This window comes from Homo sapiens, chromosome 2 (genome assembly GCF_000001405.40).
Source record: "Homo sapiens chromosome 2, GRCh38.p14 Primary Assembly".
In the NCBI taxonomy this organism is placed as follows: domain Eukaryota; kingdom Metazoa; phylum Chordata; class Mammalia; order Primates; family Hominidae; genus Homo; species Homo sapiens.
Window position 1 is genome coordinate 235,594,450 of NC_000002.12, and position 26,278 is coordinate 235,620,727.

Here is a 26,278-nt window from a genome sequence, read left to right on the forward strand (position 1 = left end):
CTTTCTTTCTTCTGTCCTTCCTTCCTCTGATGGGTAGAGCATCTCTGTGGGCCAGGTACTGTGTTCAGCATTTCATGAGATTTATCAATTTTAAAGAAGAATTGACAATATGATGCGGAGTTTTCCAGATTGCTGTTTGTTTTGAGAGGGAGTCTTGCTCTGTTACCCAGGCTGGTGTGCAGTGATGTGATCTCGGCTCGCTGCAACCTCCATCTTCCGGGTTCAAGCAATTCTGCCTTGGCGTCCCAAGTAGCAGGGATTACAGATGCATGCCACCACACCCAGCTAAATTTTTTGTATTTTTAGTAGGGATGGGGTCTCACCATGTTGACCAGGCTGGTCTTGGACTCCTGGCCTCAAGTGATCCACCTGCCTCGGCCTCCCAGAGTGCTGGGATTACAGGCGTGAGCCACTGCGCCCGGCCCAGATTGCTGTTTTTTTTTTTTTTTTTTTTTTTATGATGTAAAAGTATCAACATATTTTTTAAAGAAAGTTTCATCTGCTGCTATCTAGAGGAGGTAGCTGGAACCAGAGCACCAGGCTGGCACTGGCAAGGAGGAGAGGGCACCTCCCGGCATGTGGACGGAATGACCCAGGTGAGGCGGGTGTGGCGCCAGAGGGGCCTGTTGCAGACCTGAAGAACTCCAGTGTGTTTTGCAGAAAGGGAGTTTCAGAGAATAAGGGGCAGCCTTGACTCAGACGGCTTGGGAGAGGAGTAAGTGCAGCCCAGCCTCCAGGGGAAGGGGAGGAAAACTGAAGGTTTGTAAGGGATCTGGCCAGCATGGTCTTGATGCCTGGAAACAGCTCCTGGGCTTCTCACCAGTATTGGGAGCTGACTCTTAGAAAGGCAGCCTTCCTGGGGAGCACACCCTCGAGGGGCCGGAAACCGTGAAACTGACCAGAAGCACATAGGTCCAGTGGGCACTGAAATACATTCTCAGGAAGGAAGTGTAGCTGAAGTCCAGAACTCAGCTTACTCTCACTCCTGGGCCTGCTGCTGCCTTAATGTGCCTGCTCCTGTGTTTTTGTTCTGATAAACACGTATAGCACTTTCAATTATGCTGTTACTTACAGCTAAGTAAAGCAGTACTAGGTGGATTTGTCAGTGCCACTTCCTACAAAGTGAAGGCTGGATTTTTGGGGGACTCATTTCCAGCAGCCACCAGCAGGTGGAGGGAGTGAGATGCGTAAACAAACTGTCCCTCATGCTTGGTGTTTGGGCAGATGCATTGCTAAAGCGTGCTCACTAATAAATCCCCTGCTGATATGGCACAAATATTTATAGCCGATGATTGATGTGAAATTAACAAAAACTAGCAGTTGACAGCGATATGAGGTGGCAAAGGCTATTTGGGAAAGTTTCCGTTGTCTTTGAAAATTAAGAAAAATTATACGTTTACTTGCCTTGCTAAGAACTGTTTAAGAATAAATCAACATAAACTAGGGCAGCTTCTTAAACTATGATGGAGAAGCACAAGGTCAAAGTGTTTCGTCTCAGAATGAAGCAGTAATGTATTACTTTGCGTACTGTGTACAGGGGCCGGCAGATGTTTCTGATGTTATGAAGCTATGCTCCTGGAAGTGGTTGTGAAAATCGCAGCCCTGTGAATTGTGTGCCCTAAGAGCCAGCTGTGCTCCTAACAGTGATGCCGTCTTTCCATGGAAATCACCCATAAGCACAGCCTTCAGTCTAACTTCATGTCAAGTCTAAGTGGCACAGCTATCCATGAACACTGTAAACATTCCCAGCTCCATCTAAGGTGATTAAACGGAGTCAGAACCCGGCCATGGATGTGTATTCACTGTTATTTAACAGATGCTCAAACTAGACAGGTGGGACTGTCCAGATGCCTGTGGGGCACTACAGAGTTTTGAGGAAATAGAGTCTCAGACTGGAGCCCCAAGGACCTTGAGGACAGGAGTCTACCTGGGGAGGGGCATCCCAGAGACTTACTCCAGCTGCTTAACTCCGGTGTGCCTGGAGTCACCTTGGGACCTTGTTACCTGCAGATTTGGATTCAGCAAGGCAAGGTGGACCTGAGAGTCTGTGTTTCTGGTGAGCCACAGGTAGCACCCCGGCTGCTGGTCCCTGGTCTGGGGAAAGGCAGGCAGAGTTGGAGAGACCCTTCCCGGGTTCCTGGTTGCAGGTGCTGTGTCATCGTATGGCTGTATTTGAGGGGATTGTGTAAGAAGATGTTGTTAAATTTATTTTTAGAATAATAGACTTTTAGATAGAAGAGAAACCTCGGAGGTCAATCAGCTTTCACTCTTCCTCTCTTGTGCCCCAGTCCTAGTGATGAGAAAAGCAATGATGTTTCCCAAGGCCGGGGCTGTCGACTGAATTGTGTCCCTGCAACCCCGTGTGATGGTATTAGGAGGTGGGTCTGTGGGAGGTATCAGGTCATGGGAGTGGACCCCTTGTGGTGGCACGAATGCCCCTCAGGAGCGCTTGCTCTGTACCCTATGAGGACATCATGAGGAGATATGGCTTCTGCAGGAAGAGGCCTCACCAGGAACCAAATTGACCAGTACCTTGAACTTGGACTTCCAGCTGCCAGAACTGTGAGAGGTAAACGTGTGTTGTTGAAGTGCCTCTGCCGGTGGTCTTTGTGATAGCAGCCCCAGCCGACTCATCACAGCCAGATTAAGGGAGATCAAAAGAGTTAAGGTTCCAGACTCCAGCTCCTGAGTTCTTCTATGTGGAAAGATGCCCCTTCAACCACCAAGGCCAGGGATGCCCTGTGGTTCAGCGTTGTCACCCTTGTTGCCCGCCTCCAGGGCAGAGCTGGGGGCACTGGAGGTGCTCAGGACGTGTGGAGCAGAATTGGGAGTGAATGTTGTGTGCTCAGGGCCACCTCCACTCTGCAAGCACAGCTCCCAGAGATGAGGACGGGGCTTGCTTTGTCCTCTGCCACACACAGCCCTTCATGCAAGGCCTTGGCCCCTCCAGGGCCACACACCTTGGCCACCCAGCAAGCACCCCTTGCTTGGCCAGTCTTTCCGTCACTTCCTTTCCTTTTTCCCTGTCTCCTGAGCTTCAGACTAGTTGACCCTAAGGGGTGTCTCCAGCTGTAAATAACTGTCCAGACTGCTTGTAAAGGAAAACATTGCAACCACCTTACTGCACAATTGATACTATTATTATTTTAGGGTTACCCAAAAATGTGCAGCACGCCCTCGAATGACATGGATTTGTTCTAACGTTGGTGATGAAAAAAATGGATTCCCGCTGGGGCCCTGTCTGTGTGGAGCGTGCACGCGCTCCCGTGTTTCCTGTGTGTGGAGCGTGCACGCGCTCCCGTGTTTCCTTTGTGTGGAGCGTGCACGCGCTCCCGTGTTTCCTTTGTGTGGAGCGTGCACGCGCTCCCGTGTTTCCTTTGTGTGGAGCGTGCACGCGCTCCCGTGTTTCCTTTGTGTGGAGCGTGCACGCGCTCCCGTGTTTCCTTTGTGTGGAGCGTGCACGCGCTCCCGTGTTTCCTGTGTGGAGCGTGCACGCGCTCCCGTTTCCTTTGTGTGGAGCGTGCACGCGCTCCCGTGTTTCCTGTGTGGAGCGTGCACGCGCTCCCGTGTTTCCTTTGTGTGGAGCGTGCACGCGCTCCCGTGTTTCCTTTGGGTGGAGCGTGCACGCGCTCCCGTGTTTCCTTTGTGTGGAGCGTGCACGCCCTCCCATGTTTCCTTTGGGTCTTCCGGTTTCCGTCGACGTCCCAAAGCTGTGCACATTAGGTGACTGGCGTGTCTACAGCATCCCAGTCTGAGTGAGTTTGGGCATGTGTGAGTGGCCCCGCGATGGAACAGCGCCCTGGTTCCTGCCTGCCCCCACTGAGCTGCTGGGACAGGCTCCCACCACCCTGAACTGGAATAATTGGGTAAATAATTATCTTACTTATTTTTACATGTATGTAAGCTCACGTTTATTGCAGTGTTTAATATTAGAAGGGCTTTGGTCTTTATTTAGAAGTTTGGTGATGTTTTTGTGACCAGAAATAAGCCATAGGAGCTTAACTCTTGTTTATATCAAATTACCCTATGGGAAACTTGGTTGCATTGTATGTCGTTTCGTTTAAAGTTGCTGTTTCCAGGAACCTATTGGTGATGTGAAGTGAGGACTTACTGGATGACGTGAAACTAATTTTAACTTTCTTTTACTCATCATCCTGGGATTATTCAAGTATAAACTCAGAATTGCCAAATTAAATGCAAAGATATGAAAAGGAGCCGCTTATGCTAAATGTACAGATGATGCGTTTTTGCTGTAACGGAGTCGTCCCTCCGGGTGCTGACTGTGCCACTCAGCATGGTGGCCCAGGGCTGTGTGTTTGGTGCACAGTGGGACGTCTTAGTCCCACTACCTCAGCCAGACTCCTGGCAAAGTCTTTATTTTTTAAGATAATTTATTTTTAGATTTTATTCAAAATGAAAACCCATTTAAAAAGCACATGAGAAATGAGTTCTTTATTCACTCATCTAAATATTTAGGGCTGTGGATGGGCTCAGCTGCTTTAAATATTTGGCTGGGCAGATGAGTGGGAGCCTGTCTTCCTCTTGTTGACATTTGCGTCTGTGGTGGTGTACACAGATGAGCTCACTGCTGTCCTCGGAGCAGGTAGGAATGTATTTATTTACTCGCATGCCTTCAGATGCTTGCAGTAAGTCCATTTGAGATGCTGCTTCTATTTTTCCTTGTGGAGAACTTACTTGACGCCAACAAAGAAATTTCTAGCTGCTTGTAGAAGACACCCCAGGGTACGCAGCCAGTCCCTTCCACGAATGCTGCGAGAACCCACACAGCTGTTCATTTCGGTGGCCGAGGGCCTGTGGGCTGCAGTACGTTTACACTGTGTGTTGGGGGGGTGGCAGTGTGCTTTCTTCCTGCCCCAATTTTGCCCAGGAGGAGTCTGGTGATGGAGAAGGTGTGGCGGGCAGCAAGGAGGCTGGGGAAGTGGATGCTGCAGGGTGAGCTCTGGGCGACCCAGGAGGAAGTATTTGCATGAATTAGCCACACGCAGAGGGCAGTTATGTGTGATGTGGGAAATGACTGCAAAGCTATCTTACTCTTTATTCCATAGCCACAAAAATAAGTTTATAAAAAGCCCCCACCAAGTCAGGATTTGTCCAGAATGGTCACTCTGCTTTGGAGAACTGCGGATCCCCTGCCATGGCCCATGTGGCTCCGGAAGTTCCTGGGAGTGGCTCGTAGAGCCTGTTTTCATCCTTCAGAGGAATCCTGCAGTCCACTTGCCCAGCGTCACTTCCTCCAGTGCCCTTTCTGGGTCCCACGTGATTCTACCTGATCGCTGGCTCTCTAGGGCTTTTCCCCTCCAGGTTCAGAGAGAGCGCCTGCCCCAGGGCTGGGAAGATGAGCAGGGATCCTGGGATGTGATGGCACGGTCAGTCGCCCCTGGTGGAGGCAATGCTGGTACCCACGACGTGGAGCCCTGAAGGATGAGGAAAATAATTTCTGAGAAACTGACTCAGGGAAGTGCCTGTGTTCAGGGCGGAGGTTCCACTGTGATTTGAAAACAGGCGATTCTTCCAGACAACTTTAAAGATGAGTAGGTGCAAACTGCAGCCACAGTAAACTTCAGGGTGTCAACTTCAGGGGAATATAAACAGCCTCCAGGGAGCCCCTCTCTCCATCCCAGCCTTTCTTCCTCTCTCGTAACTGTTATTTACTCAGTAATTACAGGTTCAAGTCCCTTGTCCAAAATCCAAAAAGCCGACACTGGAAATATTCTGTAGCTCATCTGGCAGCAGGGCCAGAGCTGATGATCTAATTCGGATGATTTATGGCCTCTGTTTACCCCACAGACGATCAGTGTGCCTGCTTCCAGGGGGCTGCTCCTAAGGGAGGTGCTGGCACTACCTTTTCAGCCTGCATGGACTGTGCTGGAAACACTCAGTAGCAACTCAGGCTCAGGGAGCCCTCACCTGAAGCCCTCCTCTTACCCACCCTCTGCCCTATAGACCCCCATACTCCTGTAGATACCCCCTCATTACAGACCCCCACCATCCCCGCTGGATTAGGGTTCTCTAGAGGGATGGAACCAATAGGCCAGATATGTAATAAAGGGGAGTTTATTAAGGAGTATTAACTCACAGGATCACAAGGTCCCACAATAGGCTGGCTGCAAGCTGAGGAGCAAGGAAGCCAGTCCCAGGCCGAAAGCTGAAGAACTTGGAGCCTGATGTTCGAGGGCAGGAAGCATCCAGCACAGGACAAAGATACAGGCTGGGAGGCTAAGCCAGTCTTGCCTGTTCATGTTTTTCTGCCTGCTTTATATTTGCTGGCAGCTGATTAAATGATGCCCACCCAGATTGAGGGTGGGTCTGCCTTCCCCAGCCCGTTGACTCAAATGTTAATCTCCTTTGGCAGCGCCCTCACAGACACACCCAGGATCAATACTTTGCATCTTTCAATCCAGTCAGGTTGACACTCAGTATTAACCAGCATACCCACCATTGTTTCACCTGCAGCCTCCCCCATCTCAGCTGGTGCTCACTTTATTTTTACTGCTTGTTGTTCTGGCCCCAGATCTCAGAGTCCTGGTAACGCCTCTCCTCTTCTCACTGCCTTCAGTATCCAGCCAAGCTGGGAAACGCCACTGCCACAGTACCTGCAGGGTCCAGCCAGCTCCCCACCTCCACTGGATGCCACTGTGTTAGCTTGGGCTGCCACGACAGAGACCACAGAGTGGGTGGCTTAACAGAAGTGTATTTGCTCAGTTTGTAGAAGTTGAAAGTCCAAGGTCAAGGTGGCGTTTCTGGTGGGGCCCCTCTTTCTGGCTTGCAGATAGTTCCTCCTTACTGTGTCCTCTCTGTGCTTGGGGGTGGGGAGAGAGGCGAGAAGGGAAGGAGAAAGAGATGGAGACAGGTTTGCTGTCTCTTCCTCTTGTTATAAGAACACCAGTTGTATTAGTCTGTTGTCGTGCTGCTAATAAGCACATACCTGAGACTGGGTAATTTATAAAGGAAAGAAGTTTAACGGACTCACAGTTCTACATGGCTGGGGAGGCCTCACAGTCATGGCGGAAGGTGAATGAGGAGCAAAGTTACATCTAACATGGGGGCAGGCAAGAGAGCTTGCTCAGGCGAACTCCCGTTTATAAAACCATCAGATCTTGTGAGACTTATTTTCTACCACAGAACAGAATAGGGGAACCCACCCCCAAGATTCAGTAACCTCCCACTGGGTCCCTGGGAGCCACAATTCAAGATGAGATTTGGGTGGGGACACAGCCAAACCATATCACCAGTCCGTGGAGCCAGGTGTGGTGGCTCACACTTGTAATCTCAGTGCTGAGGCGGGAGGATCACTGGAGGCCAGGAGTTTAAGACCAGCCTGGGCAACCTCTTTTAAAGTTAATTACTTCCCAGCAGGCCCTGTTTTTCTGGTACAGTCACACTGGAGGTTCAACACAATCCAGCCACCACATCACCCAGGTCACTGCAGTAACCTCTTAGCGGGCCTCCGTGCCCCATCCCAAAAGGTCCATTCTCAAAGGAGACTCCAGGGTGACCCCTAAAACCCAAGTCCAATCACATTACTCCTGGGCCTCACACCTGCAGCAGCTCTCCAAAATTCTCAGGATAAACACCGATGTCCTTACTATGACCTCCAGGGCCGCAGAGCAGGCACTGGCAAACTGCTGCCACCTGCTTCTGTATGGCTTTCTAGCTCAGCACAGTTTCTGTGGTTTTAAGTAGTTGGGGGAAAAAATCAAAAGCATAACTTGTGGTGCATGACAATGATATGAAATTCATATTTCAGCGAGCACAAATAAAGCCGTGTTGGGTCATAGCCATGCCTGTTTGCTCAAATGTTATCTGTGGCTGCTTTCATGTGACATCAGCAGAATTCACTGGTTGTGACAGAGATCTACATAATTCCCTCGATTTTGTCTCTTGGCCCACAAAACCTAAACTATCTACTCCCTGGCCCGTGGCAGTGGAACTTTGTTAACCCCTGCTTGGCCTTCTTTCCTCACTACCTCTTTGCCCGCCAGGCTCACCCTCACTCCCTCCGCTCCAGCCACACTCAGTCCCTGCTGTTCCTCTAGCACGCCAGCCCCAGGGCCTTTGCATTAGCCGTGCCCTCTGCCTGAGTGCCCTTCCGCTTCCTGCATTTTGCCCTTCCTTCAAGCCTTTGCTCAGTGTGGCCATCCCATTCAGCCTAATGGTGCATGTTTCCTCCACCTCCACAGTTCCTCTTATCCTGTTTCCATTTTCCTTAGCAGTTATCCGCATCAGACACATTTCTTTTTCTTTTTTTTGAGAAGGAATCTCGCTGTGTCACCCAGGCTGGAGTGCAGTGGTGCGATCTTGGCTCACTGCAACCTCCGCCTCCTGGGTTCAAATGATTCTTGTGCCTCAGCCTCCCGAACAGCTGGGATTACAAGCACTTGCCACCACGCCTGGCTAATTTTTGTATTTTTAGTAGAGAAGGGGTTTTACCATATTGGTCAGGCAGGTCTTGAACTCCTGACCTCAGGTGATCCTCCTGCATCGGCCTCCCAAAGTGCTGGGATTGCAGGCGTGAGCCACCGTGCCTGGCCCATCGGACACACTTCTTACTGATATGGTTTGGCTGTGTCCCCACCCAAATCTCATCTTGAATTATAGCTCCCATAATTCCCACGTGTTGTGGGAGGGACCCAGTGGGGGATAATTGAATCATGAGGGTGGTTTCCCCCATACTGTTCTGATGGTAGTGAATAAGCCTCCTGAGAGCTGGTGGTTTCATAAGGGGAAACCCCTTTTGCTCGGCTCTCGTCTCTCTCTTGCCTGCCGCCATGTAAGATGTGCCTTTCACCTTCTGCCATGATTGTGAGGCCTCCCCAGCCACTTGGAACTGTGAGTCCATTAAACCTCTTTTTGTTTATAAATTACCCAGCCTAGGGTATGCCTTTATCAGCAGCATGAAAAACGAACTAAGGCACCTACTGTATTTGTTTTCTTGTCTGTGCACCACTGCGGAACTGTGAGCTCCCAGAGTGCACAGATATGTGCCAGACACCAAGATCAGAATGGGTGCTTCGCAGTGCTCAATACATTATTTATTGAATGACTTAATGTAGAATGACTAGTTACACAGTTCAGGTGCTAGGAGGCAGTATAAAAGTCAGAGAGCAAATGCTTTAAGAAACTGTAGTATACACCAGGAAATGCAATTCTTTAGTTAGATACCTTCTCCTTTCAGTAAAATTATGTTCAGTGCTGTAAATAGGCAACTTTCAGTGATTTGTTTTTCAAACAAGTGGCTTTTTATCTTTTCCTCTTGACAGTGAGTGTCTCTCCATGTGTGAAGTATTTTCTCCTCTCATATCTGTGAAGTCCTGCTTGTAAGTGTTTCGGTTATGCAACATTTCATGGGGAATTTGAGCACTGGAATTCTTGGTCGCTAGTTAGGTGGGTCTTACCGCATTTGTCAGAAAGGAATGCGTCCATCAGGTTGGTTGACGGGTTGGTTGACGGTCTGCAAGTTGCAGTCTTGGCACAGGCACCCATCAAAATGACACACGGTGACTCTGGTTTCTTCCAGCATCCCCGAGATGAAGATGAAAAACTGTTGCATAGCAGGTGGATCTTGCTAGAAGCTCTCCAGCCATGTGATTAGTTTATTTGCTCATTTTTTTTTTCCTTTTAATATAAATATATCAGAATTCAGGCTGGTTTCAGAACCTGGCATCAGGAATGGAATTTAAAAAAAAAATTGGTTCAGATGTATCATTCCTCCAATTGGCATATATAAAAAGAATAGTGTGGCTCTTGCCTGGTAATACTGGCACTTTGGGAAGCCAAGGTGGGAAGATTGCTTTACTCCAGGGATTTGAGACCAGGCTGGGCAGCATAGTGAGACCCCGCCTATACAACAGATTTTTTTTAATTAGCTGAACATGGTGGTGTGCACCTGTAGTGCCAGCTACTCGGGAAGCTGAGGCAGGAAGATCCTTTGAGCCCGGGAGGTTGAGGCTGTAGAAAACCACGATTGTGCCAGTGCACTTCAGCCTGGGCAACAGAGCGAGACCCTGTATCAAAATAAAAAAAAAAAAAGTGCTTGTTACTGTCCTCTTTATGCCAGTTCCTTTAGGTTGCACATTCGTGTTTCTTTTTTATTTTTATTATCTTTTTTTTTTTTTTTTTTTTTTTTTTTTGAGATGGAGTCTCGCTCTGTTGCCCAGGCTGGAGTGCAGTGGCACGATCTTGGCTCACTGCAAGCTCCACCTCCCAGGTTCACGCCATTCTCCTGCCTCAGCCTCCTGAGTAGCTGGGACTACAGGCGCCCGCTACCACGCCTGGCTAATTTTTTGTATTTTTAGTAGAGATGGGGTTTCACCATGTTAGCCAGGATGGTCTCGATCTCCTGACCTCGTGATCTGCCCGCCTCTTCCTCCCAAAGTGCTGGGATTACAGGCGTGAGCCATCGCGCCCAGCCTATTACCATTTTTTTTTGAGACGGAGTCTCTCTCTGTCCCCCGGGCTGGAGGGCAGTGGCGCGATCCTGGCTCACTGCAACTTCTGTCTCCCAGGTTTAAGCGATTCTCGTGCCTCAGCCTCCCAAGTAGCTGGCCACAGGCGTGCATCACCATGCCTGGCTAATTTTTGTATTTTTAGTAGAGATGGGTTTCACCATGTTGGCCAGGCTGGTCTCAAACTCCTGACCTCAAGCGATCCGCCTGCCTCTGCCTCCGAAAGTGCTGGGACTACAGGCATGAGCCACTGTGCCCAGCCTCATGTTTCTTTTGACAGATAACATTTAATAGTAATAAATAAGTGGTAATAAGTAATAAATAATAATTGAGTGCTTTTCACATTCCAGGTGCTGAGCTGTTTTGCATTTCACGCCCCTCATCTTCATTTATATTGTTGTTCTTAATTATCCCCATTTTACCGATGAGGAAAGGGAGATTGTAACCACCCCGAGGCTGCACAGCTAATACCCAGAGAGCAGAATTTCGCCACATGCGAAGATTCTAGCTAATCCTAAAATCTGTTTTTCACCAGACGACGCCGGCCCTTCCGGCTTGTCGTGCAGCACGGCATTATCTGGTACCCACCATTTGTATCCCGGCATCATTTATCTTCTCCCTACCTTGTTGCCAAGGCACGTGTGGGTCCCTAACGGCTGGAAACACCAATTATTCAAGACACCCTAAGGGAGACCAGAAGGAAAGCGATATTTAAGAAATGCAGGCACAGAAAAATTTAAGCATTTTAGACTCATTCTCCATCAGAAACAGGGAGGTCTTTGAAGAGGCTGCTTTTGTAAAAATTGCCAGCTGTACCCGGTCAGCACATTTTTGTTGTCTAACATTTGTTCTCAACCAGCAATTAGTCAATGACTCTAGAATTTCAGCGCAGATCCGATGAGTATAGAGGACGCGGTGTACGCCCTGTGTTGCCATGGCAACGCAGGCATGCACATCCTCCTCCCTTGGCTGCAGTGTGGTGGTGAACAGCACTCCGGTTGCTTAAGTGCTGTCTGCAGACACAAAGATGTGTTTGCCTGGTGAAATTACAGAGCTTTTCTTTCTACTTTTTAAGAATTTTCTACACTTTCTCCAATAAGTATGTGTTTTATAAGGAAAACAACAAAACAAGCAAACATGTTTATAGGTCTGCAGAGAAGAAGAGTTCTTGTAAACAGTGTTGAATATTCATGGTTCCCAAGATCGGCCATTTCCCCGGCCTTTCACCGGTGAGAAGTAAGGCATCTGCTCTGGCCAGTGGCTTGCGTTCCATTGGTCACCCTTGGCATTGCTTCACATATGTTTGCGGCTGCCCTTTTTTAACCCCTTGGTGAATGTGATGTAGGAGGCAGAAGAAAGGCCTTCTGTTCTCCACAACAGCAGACCGCTGAGAGCCGATCATGTATCTGTTTTTAAGGAAAGCAAAACCTGTTTGCCAGAGATGAACATCCTTCACCCTGGAGCCAGCATCTGGTAGATTTGGGGGTTTGGGGATGGCAGGAATGAGTTACTCGATTCAGAGACCAAGAACTACTTCTGTGAAAGCATCATCTGGGTTTATGTTTGGAATGTCTAGTATCACATCCATAATGAACCTTTTTTTAAAAAAGTGGGCATCAGAATGAATCTTGCATGTCACCAAATCGAAAGCCAATCCTGAGTCATAGAAGCATTGACTGGTGCCAGAACTTCAAAGAAAGAAGGAACACTGCTTACCTTAAATTTTAATTGTTTACAGTTGTTTGCAAACCTTTTGGCTTGGTGGCTCACGCCTTTAATCCCAGCACTTTGGGAGGCTGAGACGGGCAGATCACCTGAGGGTCAGGGGATCGAGACCAGTGTGGCCAACATGGTGAAACCCCGTCTCTACTAAAATACAAAAAATTAGCCTGGCATGGTGGCGCACGCCTGCAGTCCCAGCTACTGAGGAGGCTGAGGCAGGGGGATCGCTTGAGGCGGAGGCTGCAGTGAGCTGAGATCACGCCACTGCACTCCAGCCTGATGACAGAGCAAAGCAAGACTGCCTCTTGAAAAAAAAAAAAAAAAAAAAAAAGCACTGCTTACCTTAAATTATAATTGTTTACGAACCTGTTTCACACATATTATCTCATCTGGCCCATGAGACTGGCAGGTGAGAAAAATGGGTATTAAATTATTGTTTACATCCCACTGACAAAAATAAACAGGGTCAGCTGGGTAAGGGACGTTTCCCGGATTCGTTAAGGGGCAGAAGTGGGACCACGGTGAGTTCGTTTGTTTCCAAATCCAGAGCCCCCCCTTCCCTGCCCAGACCCAGGGCTGCCCCTAGACCATGCAGGGGAATGCTAGGTGGGAAATAGGACATTTTGTTGAAGCCCGATGCATGATTTAGCCCACCAGTACTTGGGTTCTAATATTCCATTGTGTGCTAAAAACAATGTACTTGGATCAAACTTTACCTTATATTCATGCAATCTCACAGTTATGTGGAAATCTAGCTATTATACAGAATTATTAGTCTACCTTTAGGGCTCCCCACAGCAACAAGCAAACTCACAGAGCCCAGGGCAGGAGGAGCTGTTCTGACTTCAGGCGGCCTTGCCAGGAGCCCGTTGGCCTGGGTGGAGCCCGTTGGCCTGGGTGTCCACTGTCAGAGGATGGAGATTGATCTGGGGTTACCTTTTTCAGCCTTTGCTTTGTTTGTCACCTGAAGGGGCTGGATCCTGAGCCCTGTAAGGCCCCCTTCGGCTGGTGCACACAAGAGGACAGCTTTGAGCCTCCACCAAGGTCTCTGGATTCCACTTTAAGTGCGGGCTTGGGTGTGGGAAGCTGCAGGCCAGCCTCGAGGGCAGCCTCCTGGAGGTGGAAGGGCAGCGGGGCGCGAGACTGCTGCGCTGGTGGGATGCTTGGATTCCCAGGCCCCAAGTCACTATCGGGGAACGTTCTTTGAGGTTTAATAGTATTTTAGGATTTTTTAAAGGATAGATAATATCTAGATGTTGTGTTCTACCAAAACAAATATTGTTCTTTTGGAAATATGTTAGACCAAAAAAATGCATCTAGATCTTCGAGTTTTGACTTGGAAGTGCCTCAAGTGAGCGAGTGCCTGCTGTCTCAGACATGAGGTGGATGCTGAAGAGATTACCCCTGACTTCATAGTCTGCCTGTCTCAGAGCGTGGGCGGGTTGGCATCGTCTGCACGTTGACCGGGTCGTTTTTAGCTTTGCCCACTTTTCATTTTTGGCTTCACAGAGTGATGCCTCTGGAGCATCCCCTTGCGGAGCCTCAGCATCTCTTCTCTGCTTGGCCCACGTCTAGCAGTTCTTCTTCATCTTGCAGGGAAAGTGTGTTGGCAAACATGCTGGATACTGTCAGAATCAGAGCAGGCTGGATCCATGGCCGTATTCTGTAAAATTCCATTGTGTCTTTTTTTCCCCCAAGTAATCTGGCTCTGGGAGGAAACTCGCTGATTGGAGACTAGCTGAGAGGGCTTGGCTGGGATTCTGTGGGATGGGGCCTTCAGGAGGTGGAGCCGCCCCAGGCCATGGAGACCTGGAGATGCTCAGGGAAGGGGGTGGTCAGGCCCTGGGTCCCATGTTGGCAGCCTCCCTGGCCCAGCGTTGGGCTGGGACCCTCTGCCTCTCCCAGTGAGACCAACCCTGCCCTCTGGACGGATGGAAGGACACTGGGGAGCCGATGATGCCCAGAGTGTCTGGGGGACGCATCCAGGGTCCCAGGCCCAGAAAACAGTGGAGCCAAGAGAGGAACGAGGTCTCTGGATTCCGGACGCCCTGCTGCTACTTGGCCTCCAACCAAAAAATTGTTCTTCTCCTTCCTTTTTTAGTAGGGGAGAGAGGAGCAATTTTCCATGGAATATATCTGATGGCAGGTCTTGAGGTCAGTCTGTCAGAGGCCTGGGAGATCAGGGGACAAGGGTGAAATTCGAATAGATTGTACGAAGGTTTGAGAGCTGGCATGACCCACTTTTGACCGTAAAACCTTTCAGCTTGTTCTTGACTTCCCCCCCATCCCTAATACCCCCAACTATGCAAATGATAGTACTAGGAATAATAGTAGTAGAAGTAGTAATAATAATTACAGAAGAGCAAATTTAAGAAGCTAAGGAGGGAGGAAGGAGGCAGTGGTAAGTTCTGCATAGAAATGATTTTTGCACAGAGCTTTGTCATTGGGAAGGATGCTTATCACAGGGGGCTGATGAATTTGTTTCCTTCTTGCCTTATTTTTGGCAGTTTTCTTTCTTGATGGTGGGGAGGGTTTGTGACCAGGTCCTAGTGAGGCAGCTTTCTGAGCACTTTTTCTTGATCACTGATGATGACCGTAAACAAGCTGTGGGAACATAAGGAAAAGCAGATGTGGCCACTGGTGCTTGGAAGAGAACACAATGAAATTGAGTCCCTAGCAGGAGAAGTCCCTGTTAAAATGGCCAGAGGACATGGGGACATGGGGCAGGGAGAGCTTCAGAATGAGCGGGAAGCCTCCACAACAGGTGGAGAAAATAGCAAGGGCTGCTGGGCACGATCATTCGAGATTCCAAGAGGTAAGAACTGGGGGCTGGGCTGTGGAAGAAGTGCGAGAGGGAGTGGGGAAGGCAGGCTGGGCGTGCTGTGGTTATAGGCAGCCTACATGTCTTGAGTTTTCAGTAGAGAAGGCCTGCTCCTCACTTTGACCCCGGACCTGCATGCGCGCTGAGGATGGCAGAGGGGCTCCTGCCTGTCTCAGTGCTCTGGGGTCCCGTGCTGAGGGAGCATCCTTATGGTAAACGTCCCTGGTTCTGTACCGGAGGAACAGGAGCTCTGGAGGTCTTCTGTTTGCTGTTGTATGCTGTGGCTCAGAAGTTATGTGGCCACTTTCACTCCCAACTCACAGGCCAGAAAGTGTAGTGGGAGGCTGTGGGCATATTTGGCGCTTGGCAGGATTGAAGGCGCAACTCTTGGCTTCGTGTTTCAGAGGTTGGTAAATGGAGTCTTGCTCGCCAGGTGCATGAGGTGAAGTCACTGGGCTGGGTGCAGGGAGTGAGTGGCCAACCACCTGAGAATACCTGGTGTTTCCTTCCTCAGGGACGGTTTGGCACTGGGCAACAGCTCCATTTAGCTAGGGTAGGATAATGGTAAAGTTGCCAGCAGCAATGCTTTTCCTGCATTTGCCCCAACTCTGTGCAGGGCCAGCACTTTTAGCTCCTAGTCACAGATATGGTGACAGGCTTGTCTCCACCATTGGAGTAAGCTCCAGCCCAGCTCCTGGCTTCTGATCTGTGTTGACTGCTACCCGATAGAGCCACAGTCATCCTGTGTGCCTGCTTGAGTCTGCACCGAACATGGCTCTAGCTTCTTCGTTGGCCAGACAGGATCTGCTGTATCCTTATGATACCTCGTCATCTTGGAGTCCACCGTGCACTTGTCCGCTTGGGCTGCCATAACAAAATACCAGACGCTGGGTGCCTTAAACCACAGAAATGCATTTTCTCACAGTTCTAGAGGCTGGAAGTCCAAGATCAGGGTGCTGGCATGGTTGGACTCTGGAGAGACTCTTGTCCTGACTTCTAGATGTCTGCCTTCTTGCTATCCTCACGTGGTGCAGAGCATGCCAGCTCTCTGCTGTCTCTTTTTCTAAGGGTGCTAATTCCATCATGAGGGCCCCATCCTTATGACCTTGTCCAACCCTAATTACCTTCCAAAGATCCCACCTCAGATACCATCGCATTGGGGGTTGAGCTTTAAATACAAATTTCAGGAGAGCTCAATACAGCCCATAGCACAGCGCTTCCGCACACATCCACATTGCAGACCCGCCATCCTCAAACGCACTGTGCTCCCGTGAGCTCCCTGCCCTGGAGTGGAAACCCTGGGCTGGGGAGGAGGTGCGCTAAGACTGGGCCACAGGTGTGCTCTGGTTCAGAAAACTCTTGCAGGTCCTACTTCCTGCCTTGACACCACCCCCTGCCCACAGCCTTCTCATTCTTGTCCTGTAGCCCAGTTTCGTTTCACCTGTCCTCTGCCTGTAATCCTTTTCAGCCCCTCTGAAGAGCGGCCCAGTAGGATGGTTGACTGACGTTAGCTTGGCTTTCTTCCTAAGGCACCGTCTTCCTCATTGAAACTGTGCCCATGACCTCCGGAAGCCTGCCAGCCGCCTGCCTGCAACCCCATAGCCGAGTCAGCTCCCTGGATGGGCTAGTGTGTTGACCTTCCACTGCCCCGAGGGGAGGACTCTGCCCTACTGGATCCTCCACCTCTCACTTCATTTTGCCAGTTGAAATGTTCCCCTGCCTAGTGTAGGGACTGCCACTTCATGCTGTCTTGCCAGAGCACCTTCCCAGGCAGCTGCAAAGGTGGTCTTGGTTTGACTCCCTTGTGGCCCACACAACACTTTCGTTGGAGATGAAGAGTCTCCCTTTCAGACTGCAAGCCCCTTGAGGTCAGGATGCTGCAACGAATATAATAGAAAATGATGTTAATATTCAAGGTCATGGCCATCCTCAATGCAGCCTTCATATTTTCATAATGAATAGTTATTGTGAAGGAGCTGATTTTTGGAGGAGTGGTTTGTCTGCAGTTGCACACATCTGTGATAACATGGGGTGGGTGGTTCTGATTCCTGTTTTGAGGTGGTGATTTATGATGCCTGTGTACTTCCCTGTGGTGCCCAGGCCTGCAGATTACAGACGCTGTGTAATTAGAGAATCCCTCTCCACATGTGTTCTCTGAACAGGGAGCCCAGGGAGGCTTGGATCTTTAGATTGATAAGCAGGATAGTAAACCAGTTGTGAGGAACATTGTATAGAGAAAAAACAACCTTGAGTTTCTGTTGAAATCTAGATTTGGTATAACTGTCTTCATTTCTTTAAAGAGCATTCATCAATGATATTAATGATTTTCATTTCCTACCTTTGTAGTTTTCATATAAATTAGATTTACATAGGAGACAAAGAAATCCTTCCCTCCCTGTTCCAGTTGTGGAACATATGGTCACCGTTCTGTGACTGGGAGCATTGCTGTTTGGCATGCTTGTGGGCACGGTTTAAGGGTTGAGACCACATCCTAGGTGGCGGTCACAAACCCGGCCCAGCGGCCTCCCTGCTAGGCAGTCCTCCATCAATACTGATGTTAATAATTATGTAAAATCATTCCTGTCCGCAGCCTAGAGTCTCACTGGAGAACAATCAGACATGCTTTATTTTCTACTTGTAATCGTAATCTGAGTGCAATTTCAGGACTTTGTTTTCCAGATGGCTTATTGTTTCACACGTTTTCTTTTCTCAGTGAAGCCCAGGTAACCTGCTGCTTGGGTGTACGCTGGGCGGGTTCGCAGTGCTGGAAGAGAGAGTGGACAGATTTTACACCAGCACCTTTCATCTCAGGGGTGCTTGTGAATTGATTGCACCCCTCCTGTGGCGTGGAGGCGGTGCCTGGTTAAAGTGGGGCTCAGATGCCCCTTGGTTGCATTTAATGTGTGTGCATAATCAGAGGGCAAGGACAGCAGTAAATAATTTATGTCAGCTGGAGCCCTTGGCCCTGGTAATGAGATCTCAGGGGCAGCGCCTAGAGTGCTGGGCCCTTCCAGATGATCTATGAATTGGTCTTTGCCTTTGTACTTATTCAAACTGACAAATACTTACTTAATAGCTGATTGTATTCAGGTGCTAAGGGAAAAGAACGTGACTGTGTGGGGGTCTCCCTGACTCCTTAGAACCTGCAAATGCATGAAACTCATGTTAAGAACAGTTGTGGTTCACGTGTACCAAACTTGGGAAATCCTGACCAGCGCATCCAGGGTTGCTTGGGCACAGTGGTCCTTTTGCATGGGGTGGCCGGCCAGGTGTGCTGAGTGCCACCTGGGCTTGCATGCCGGACGCATACCTGGCACCTGCTTCCAGGTTGGCCTGCCAGCCGATGTTGTGATCTTGTGGAGGGAATGACCCCACGTCTCTGGATTCTGGCTTCTGCTTCCAGTGAGACTCCGCCCAGGTTATGTTTGTGGCCTTTTATCTCTCCAATGTGAGGCATCTCTGATGATGCCTAAGGATGTCCTTCTAATTTGGAGTTAACCTCTCTTTCCCAGGTGAGGTTAGCAAATACGTATAGATTGTAACAAGAGAATTTTGCATTTCAGTTTTGTTTTTTTTTTTTTTTTGAGATGGAGCTCACGCTGTCGCCCAGGCTGGATAGAGTGCAGTGGTACGATCTCGGCTCAGTGTAACCTCTGCCTCCTGAGTAGCTGGGATTACAGGCAGGCACCACCATGCCCAGCTAATTTTTGTATTTTTAGTAGAGACTGGATTTCGCCATTTTGGCCAGGCTGGTCTTGAACTCCTGGCCTCAAGTCATCTGCCTGCCTCGGCTTCCAAAAGTGCTGGGATTACAGGCCTGTGCCACTGCACCCGGCCACATTTAATATTATTTACCTGAGATTTTTGAGGCAAGCAGCCCTGGGGATGTAAGCACCTTTTAATTTGGCAGCTTATTTGATAAGCAAATGGGTTCTATCTTAAAATCCAAAGTTGTTTACACTTAATGCATATTTTGAGAGCTGTTACCCAAACCTTTTTCCTTCCTTCAATGAGAAGACTTATATCTTTTTGAGCAGAAACTGTGGATTCAGAAACCAACAGAACTCTTCATTCTCCTTAAGGAGATAGAGGCCAGGGAAAGTGTTTTTAGGTAAATAATAACGCCTTCTTGCCTCTCTCCCTTTATCTCCCCATTCTCCCTGAAAAAACTACAAGAAATGGTAAGGAAGAGAATAAAAGAGGAAAATAAATCACAGATAACTAGAACCACTTTATTGCTATTATTCCAGGTGATCTACTGATAAATTAAAAGAAAGATGAATATAAGCTGGTAATTACTTTAAAATATTCCTTTGTGAATGTGCCTAATTGGCGCGGGCCTCCCTGTAGAATGAGGCTCCTCCTGCAGTTCGAGGAGAGGCTGTAATTAACAGTGAATTAGCATATAGTGGCGCCGTGTGGCCCGCAGGGTGGCCTTGTCCATCTGCTGTGTAGGGGACTTAGGTGACACCTGGCTAGTGGTAGTCTGCAAGAACCCTTTGTTAATGGGAATATTGTGCATGAGTCAGAATTCAGAATCTTTGGTATGGTTTTTTTTTTTTCCCCCTTTTGTGTGTTTTGGCCAAATACTCAAAAGCACTAAGTTTTCTTGCGTGGTATCTGTTCATATATTGATTCACCAAATATTGATTGTACATCTGCGAATGTGCTAGATACCCTACTGGTGCTGGTGAGCAGAAACAGGCAAGGTCTTTGGCCTCAGGGGGTCCTTGGAGTCTAGAAGGGATGGTGACATTGGCCAGAGTCACCCCATAATCATACAGTTAGCAGTGTGGCCAGCGTCACTTAAAGCGGGGAGGTGGCTGGTGCTGGAGCGTGTATAACAAAAGTGGGATCCGGAAAGGGCTGCTGGCGAGTGGGAGTTTTCTAGGGAGCCGCTGCTCTTGCTTCAGGTCTCAGATGGCATAGGAGTGTGTGTCATCCCAGAGGAGCAGCAGCAAACGGCCTGTGATGGGCTGGATGTATTTGGGGAGGGAAGAAGGCAGTTGTAGCTCAAGGGAGAGAAAAGGCAAGGAGAAACATGGCGAGGGGTGGGGGCTTTGCTCTTTAGCCCGTGAGCAGTGGAAAGTCATTGAATGCTGTCTGGTGTAAAATCTGTTAGCAGTTTCACTTCCATCTGGAGCACCCAGGCCTGCAGGAGTGTGGGTTGGCTCTCTACCCCCGTTGCAGATTGGCTTGTGGTTTGGGGTGTGCCAGGCTCAGGGGCAGGGCCCTTTTTCCACACGCTTAGGGAAGATACGAGACTGGCTAACTCAGTATTCACCGTGAATTCTTTTGTGGGAAATAGAACACAGCGTTGGGTACCAAGAGGGTGCTGTCTTTTCCTGTTTTCTTGGCCTCCTAGGGAATCAGTTTGATTCTGTGGCTATTAAATTAATGGTTTAGCTGAGATGTTTTCTCTACTCAGGGCCCAATGCCGTATGTGATATTTTACAACAAATTTGGTTCACTGGGGCCGACTTGAAAATAGTCAAAGTCCAAGTAAACTTCTGCCTGTGTGTGGTGCGCTCAAATAAAGGAGGCTGTTCAAGGTGAGTGGTTTTCCTGGCGGTGTGGTTTTTTAAAATTTCTAATAAAATGCAAATGATTACAGCCCCTTCCATGAAGAGTGCAAGTACGCCTGACTCCTCCGCGCAGGGAATGAGCAGCCTCTGCTCCTTCATTTGATTGCTATGACAACCCACAGAGGTGGGTGTTGTCACTTCCACTGCCAGCCAGCTTGCACGGTCCAGGGACGTCCCCACCCTCGGTTGGGTTGTCCAGGGTCACATGGTTGGGAGTCAGAACCAGACTTCAAAGGGCATGTGACTACAGCATCCATCCTCCCTGCTCTGCCTCGCACTGCCTTCTAATGGGTCCCACTGAGGAGCTTGCCAGTATTGTTACAATTGGAGTGATCTCATATGACCAAAAGTTGGAATGATCCCATTCTTTACTCACAGCCTGAGCTATTTTTTTTCAAAGCATTATCTCTCTACTGTTTGTAGGCAGAGAATTTATTAAATCTTGCCTAAATTTATCCGTAAGCATGGATCAAATGCACATTTGGCATGATTCTCATCTCTGAGCCATTGCAACCTATTTTTTAATGCCAAGAGAAAGTATTTTAAGGAAGTGGGGTCAGCTTTCCTCTGCTCCCCTGACTTCACAGGATAGCTATGCATTTTGCCTCTTGGGGAGCTGGGTTATTGTGAAACTAGGTCAAATTATTGTTTTTTCTCTTTATGCTCATAGCCATTCCAAAGACAGAATCCTTTCCTCAAAAAATGAATTTTTGAGTGTTCCTATATTCTTGGGGATGAACTTCAAGGGCAGAAAATAAATGAAAGGGGATTACTTTGACAGCATCTGAACAACAGAACACCTTCTGAACAGCACAAACACTTGTAGCAAAATTAAAAGACCAACAAAAATATGTATTACATATAGAGCATTGTCTTCTATATGTAAAGAGTTCTTATAAAACAATAAGAAAAATATTTCCTAACTAAAGGAAATGGACACAAAATTCATAAAAGAAGAAACAAAGGAGCAATTAAGATATAAATATATTTGGCTTTGTTGATTAAAGAGTAACAATTAAAATGACAGGTGACTTCTGGGCCGGATGCAGTGGCTCAAGCCTGTAATCCTAGCACTTTGGGAGGTAGAGGCAGGCATATCACAAGGTGAAGAGATCAAGACCATCCTGGCCAACATGGTGAAACCCTATCTCTACTAAAAATACAGAAATTAGCTGGGTGTGGTGACGTGCACCTGTAGTCCCAGCTACTGGGGAGGCTGAGGCAGGAGAATCACTTGAACCCAGGAGGCGGAGGTTGCAGTGAGCCAAGAGTGCGCCACTCTACTCCAGCCTGGTGACAGAGTGAGACTCCATCTCAAAAAAAAAAAAAAGGTGACCTCTTTCTTTTCATCTGGTTAAGTTCAGTGTTAAAAACAAAGGCCCAGTGTTGGTGAAGGTGATGGAAAATAGTTCCCCTTTTACATTTTAGTGGGAAAAATGTAAATTGAGATAGCCATCTGGAGAGAAATTTGTCAAACAGTAATAAAAACCCTAACAATGTATTTGACCTCTGACCTGGCAATTTCATTTCTGCCTATCTTCTTTTAACCCTAGATTGATTAAACTCGTTAAATAAAACACATTTGTGGGTATAGAAAACTTCATAGGTTTCTGGCTTCCTGCCCCACCTGTGGTTTCATTCTGCCCAGTTGTGTTCAACTTGAAAACGCTTGGTGCCTAGCACAGAGTAGACCCTTAATAAATGTTTCTGTCCTGAACAGATTTAAAAACAAATAGTGAAAACAAAATTCTGAACGTATGATTTTAAAAATCATTTTGTAGCCTAACACTTAGGAAACGTACTTTTTTGTTGCTTCGCTGAAGTGAGGAGGGGTGTATCTTGTAATTTTTAAATGCCATTATTAACTTCCCTAGGGATGCTTGTAAAATGAACAAACGTGCATCTTTAAATTTTTTTTATTTTTTTTTTTTAAGCTTGGAAAGAGTTGAAAAGTCAAAGTCACATCAGCTCTCTAGGGATTGGGCTGGGCTCACATTTTATGAATTTGCTGTAAAGAAGGGAAACATTTGCTTTCACTTTTGGCATGCTGAAGTGGCTTTACCAGGGAATTGTGACTTTAATTTTAAGAATTAATCGTAATGTAGGGGGAAAAATGTTCTTAAAACACAAAACAAACATGTGTGAATAGATGAGGAACAGCAGTTAAAATAATAACTTTCAAAAACTAGGTTAAAATGTCCAGAGAATTAGATTTTGTTAATGTTCAAAGCACAGCTAAGTTACTTTTTCTACAAACAATTCTTGAAAACGTTTTTGATTTTTAAGAGGAAATTAGAATAGTGGTTGAAATCATGAGGCCCCAAATCAGCAGTGTGCTTGCTGTTAATTTTGTTGTTGTAAAGAACATTTGTTTTTGGCCAGGTGCGGTGGCTCACACCTGTAATCCGAGCACTTTGGGAGGCCAAGGTGGGTGGATCACCTGAGGTCAGGAGTTCCAGACTAGCCTGGCCAACATGGTGAAACTCTGTCTCTACTAAAAATACAAAAATTAGCCAAGTATGTTGGTGGGCACCTGTAATCCCAGCTACTCAGGAGGCCGAGGCAGGAGAATCGCTTGAACCTGGGAGGCGGAGGTTGCAGTGAGCCGAGATCCCGCCACTGCACTCCAGCCTTGGCGACAGACTGAGATTCCATCTCAAACAAACAAAAGAACATTTGTTTTTGAGTTATAATCTCTGTTTCTGCGGCCTGGCTAATAGTTTGGATAGAAACATGTCTTGCATACATGAGTATTTGTTTTTTGTTTTTAAAAACACTCCAAATTCAGATTTCTTTTATTAAGTAAGTGGATGCAGTGCATAGTTTTGGGATATGCATGCATGCACTTTTGAATTTAAATACATACTAAGATGGCAGTTGGGGGACCTGAGTCTCCCTTGTGGTGCTGTGGGTTTGTAGGGGCCGGCGAGTTAACTGAACTGAGTTGAGTAGCTCACATCTCGTGGAGCATCAACCAAGAGGATGCAACTTGTGTAACTGTGAGAAGCTCAGACTTGGAAGATCTGCGTCTGTATGTGATCGCACACATTTTGGAGGGTGGGATGTGCTCGGTCTTGGGCGCGTGCAGTTTTTGCTCCCTTTTACTGTTACTGCGTTGATGATGTGTAACCCATGATATCCATGAGTTACTGTGATTTCTTTGTTTATTTTGACTCAGAGCTCCAAATACATGGGATGCTAGCAATTTCTGTGTTATCATTACTAAACCACAAGAGCTGGAAAATTCCAGTAGGTTTTTGTAGGTGATTTTTCGGGAGCAGTTGGTTTTCCTTGGCCTTCATCCTACTCTACAGAGTGAATGTGACTAGGTTCTGTTGTCATGGGGCACCTGGTCTATCTTGCAAGTTGAAGCCCCTATCTGTCCAGTTTAATTGACCTCCTGCAGGTCTGGTCTTTCTTAGTTTTTTTCTAACCTTCACTTTCTGGTAGACCCATTTCACATTAGTGCAAAAATTTTCAGTCTCAATTCAGGCATAAAGCTTCAAGTTAAGGATTTATAGATGAAAAGGCTTTAGTTATTTTATCTTTTTATTAAGGTCCATTTTTAAGCTTATATTTAAATAATGTACCATAAAAGCTTAAAATTACAAGACTTAAAATTTTAATAGTGGCTGTTAATAATTATTATTACTGAGCTCTTGTTATGTGGTATGTATAATCTTATTTAACCCTCAAAACAAAAGCAGAAATCAAAACCTGGGTGGGTAGATGTGGTAGACGTAATAACGGCCCCCAAAGATGTCCCAAGTCCTAATCCCTGAAACCTGTGAATGTGTGACCTTCTGTTGGCAAAAGAAATTAAGTTAAGGACCTTGCGTTGGGAGATTATTCTGGGCTATCTGGGTGGATCTGTCATAATCACAGGGGTCTCTATAAAAGGAGGCAGTAAGAATGATCTTTTGGGTCAGAGTCACAGAAGGAGATGTGAATATGAAAGCAGAGGCTGGAGTGATGGAGCCATGAGCCAAGGAATGGGGGAGAGCGCTAGGAGCCGGAAAAGGCAAGGAAATGGACTCTACCCCAGAACCTCCAGGATCACAGCCCTAAGTCACCTTGATTTTAGCCCATGTCGATTTTAGACCTTGGATGTAAGGTAAGAAATGTGTGTTGTGTCAAGCAAGCCACCAAGTTTGTGGTTTGTTACAGTGGTAATAGGGAACTCACGCAGTAAGGACAGGGCGATCCCCACTTTACCATGAAGGAAACCAACACTCAGAGAAGTTGAATGATTTGCCCGAGTTCACATCATGAAGTGGGGGAGCTGGGATTCAAACCTGGGGCTGAAGTGGGGGAGCTGGGATTCAATCCTGGGGCTGAAGTGGGGGAGCTGGGATTCAATCCTGGGGCTGAAGTAGGGGAGCTGGGATTCAATCCTGGGGCTGAAGTGGGGGAGCTGGGATTCAAACCTGGGGCTGAAGTAGGGGAGCTGGGATTCAATCCTGGGGCTGAAGTGGGGGAGCTGGGATTCAAACCTGGGGCTGAAGTGGGGGAGCTGGTCAATCCTGGGGCTGCTGGAGCCTAGGATCTAGAGTGCAGTCTCTGGCCTGGAGGAGAGAAGAGGCTCCCTGCAGATGCAGCTCTTTTCCCCATGTCCACCCCTTTAATTTCATGAGCATCCTGGGCTGGCTGCACTAGAAGGGGACAAGATTGCCAAGAGGCGGCCAGCTGCTGGAGATCAGCAACACCAGCTTCGGCGCCCGAATTGCTGCACATTGTCCCAGCAGCTCAAGTGTCTACCTCCTCTGATAGCACAGGTGTCTGGGCAATTCTGCATTGCAACAAGGGCCCTGTTCTACTTTTTTCTGCAAGGTTTGTCCAGAGTGCGCAGCCAGACTATATGCTGGGCTTGGTTTTCCTGAGCCTTGGCCACTGCTGGCGCCCCGATCCCGGGCCAGTTGTTCTTGGTGGCATGGCTGTCCCAAGGAGACACATGTTACTGTCTCTGTAGCTGCCTGTGCCTCCAGGTGTGGTGCTGCCTTCCTGGGCCTCTGCAGCACCTGCCCTCGGCCCCCAGGGACCTTCTTTGTCACAGCTGAAGCCCTCGCATGCTGGAGACTTGTCATTCTTCTCCTGCCGGGCATGGATGCTGACAATAGAACTACTTTCCAGAAATCAGCAAATGCTGGGCTGTGCCTTCAAAGTATATCCAGGATGCAGTGGCTTCCTGAGCCACCTCAGCCATTAGCACCCTGGTCCCGGGCAGCAGCGTTGCTTGGCGGATTACTGCTCACCTCTTCAAGCCGATGCTGCTACTCTCCTGGACAGTCCACTTGCCCAGCAGCCAGGGGCATCCCTGAGAAGCCGGGTCAGAGTGTGATGCCCTCTGCCAAAACCTCCTCCTGGCCCTCGCCTTCTGCCACTCTCCCCTTGCTCATGGCTCTGCTGATCCTTCAACCAAATGCATGCTCCTGACCCTTACATGTCTGCACTGCTTCCTCTTTTTGGAAAACCTTCCTGGGGGCCCTTGCAGCTTGGCCCTCGCATCCTTCAGCCTCACCTCCAGTGTCATTGAGGACCCTCCGTGGCACCTGGCCTTCCTCCCAGCCACAGCCCCTCCTCCTCACCTCCTCACCTGCTTCCTATTTCCCCATAAACCCCAGCTCCCTGACATGTCTGGTGTCTCTCTCTCCCCACTGGATGGAATATAAGGGCTTGTGTTTGCC

General features: G+C 48.2%; 1 protein-coding gene across 3 annotated transcripts in view, besides 2 other annotated features; it reads left to right on the forward strand.

The window, feature by feature from the left end:
- Window positions 1-26,278, forward strand: part of AGAP1 (ArfGAP with GTPase domain, ankyrin repeat and PH domain 1) — a 637,751-nt gene that overhangs the window by 100,407 nt on the left and 511,066 nt on the right. The gene's annotated exons all lie outside the window — the stretch shown is intronic.
- Window positions 1,036-1,330: an enhancer, noted in NCBI's record as "tiled region #15430; K562 Activating DNase unmatched - State 12:CtcfO". NCBI's record gives its function as "activates a minimal TATA promoter and a strong SV40 promoter by Sharpr-MPRA in K562 cells {active_cell/tissue: K562}" and the evidence as "EXISTENCE:reporter gene assay evidence [ECO:0000049][PMID:27701403]".
- Window positions 2,329-3,181: an enhancer, noted in NCBI's record as "H3K27ac-H3K4me1 hESC enhancer chr2:236505422-236506274 (GRCh37/hg19 assembly coordinates)". NCBI's record gives its function as "activates a minimal SCP1, AML or CMV promoter by ChIP-STARR-seq in primed H9 embryonic stem cells {active_cell/tissue: H9 hESC(primed)}" and the evidence as "EXISTENCE:reporter gene assay evidence [ECO:0000049][PMID:30033119]".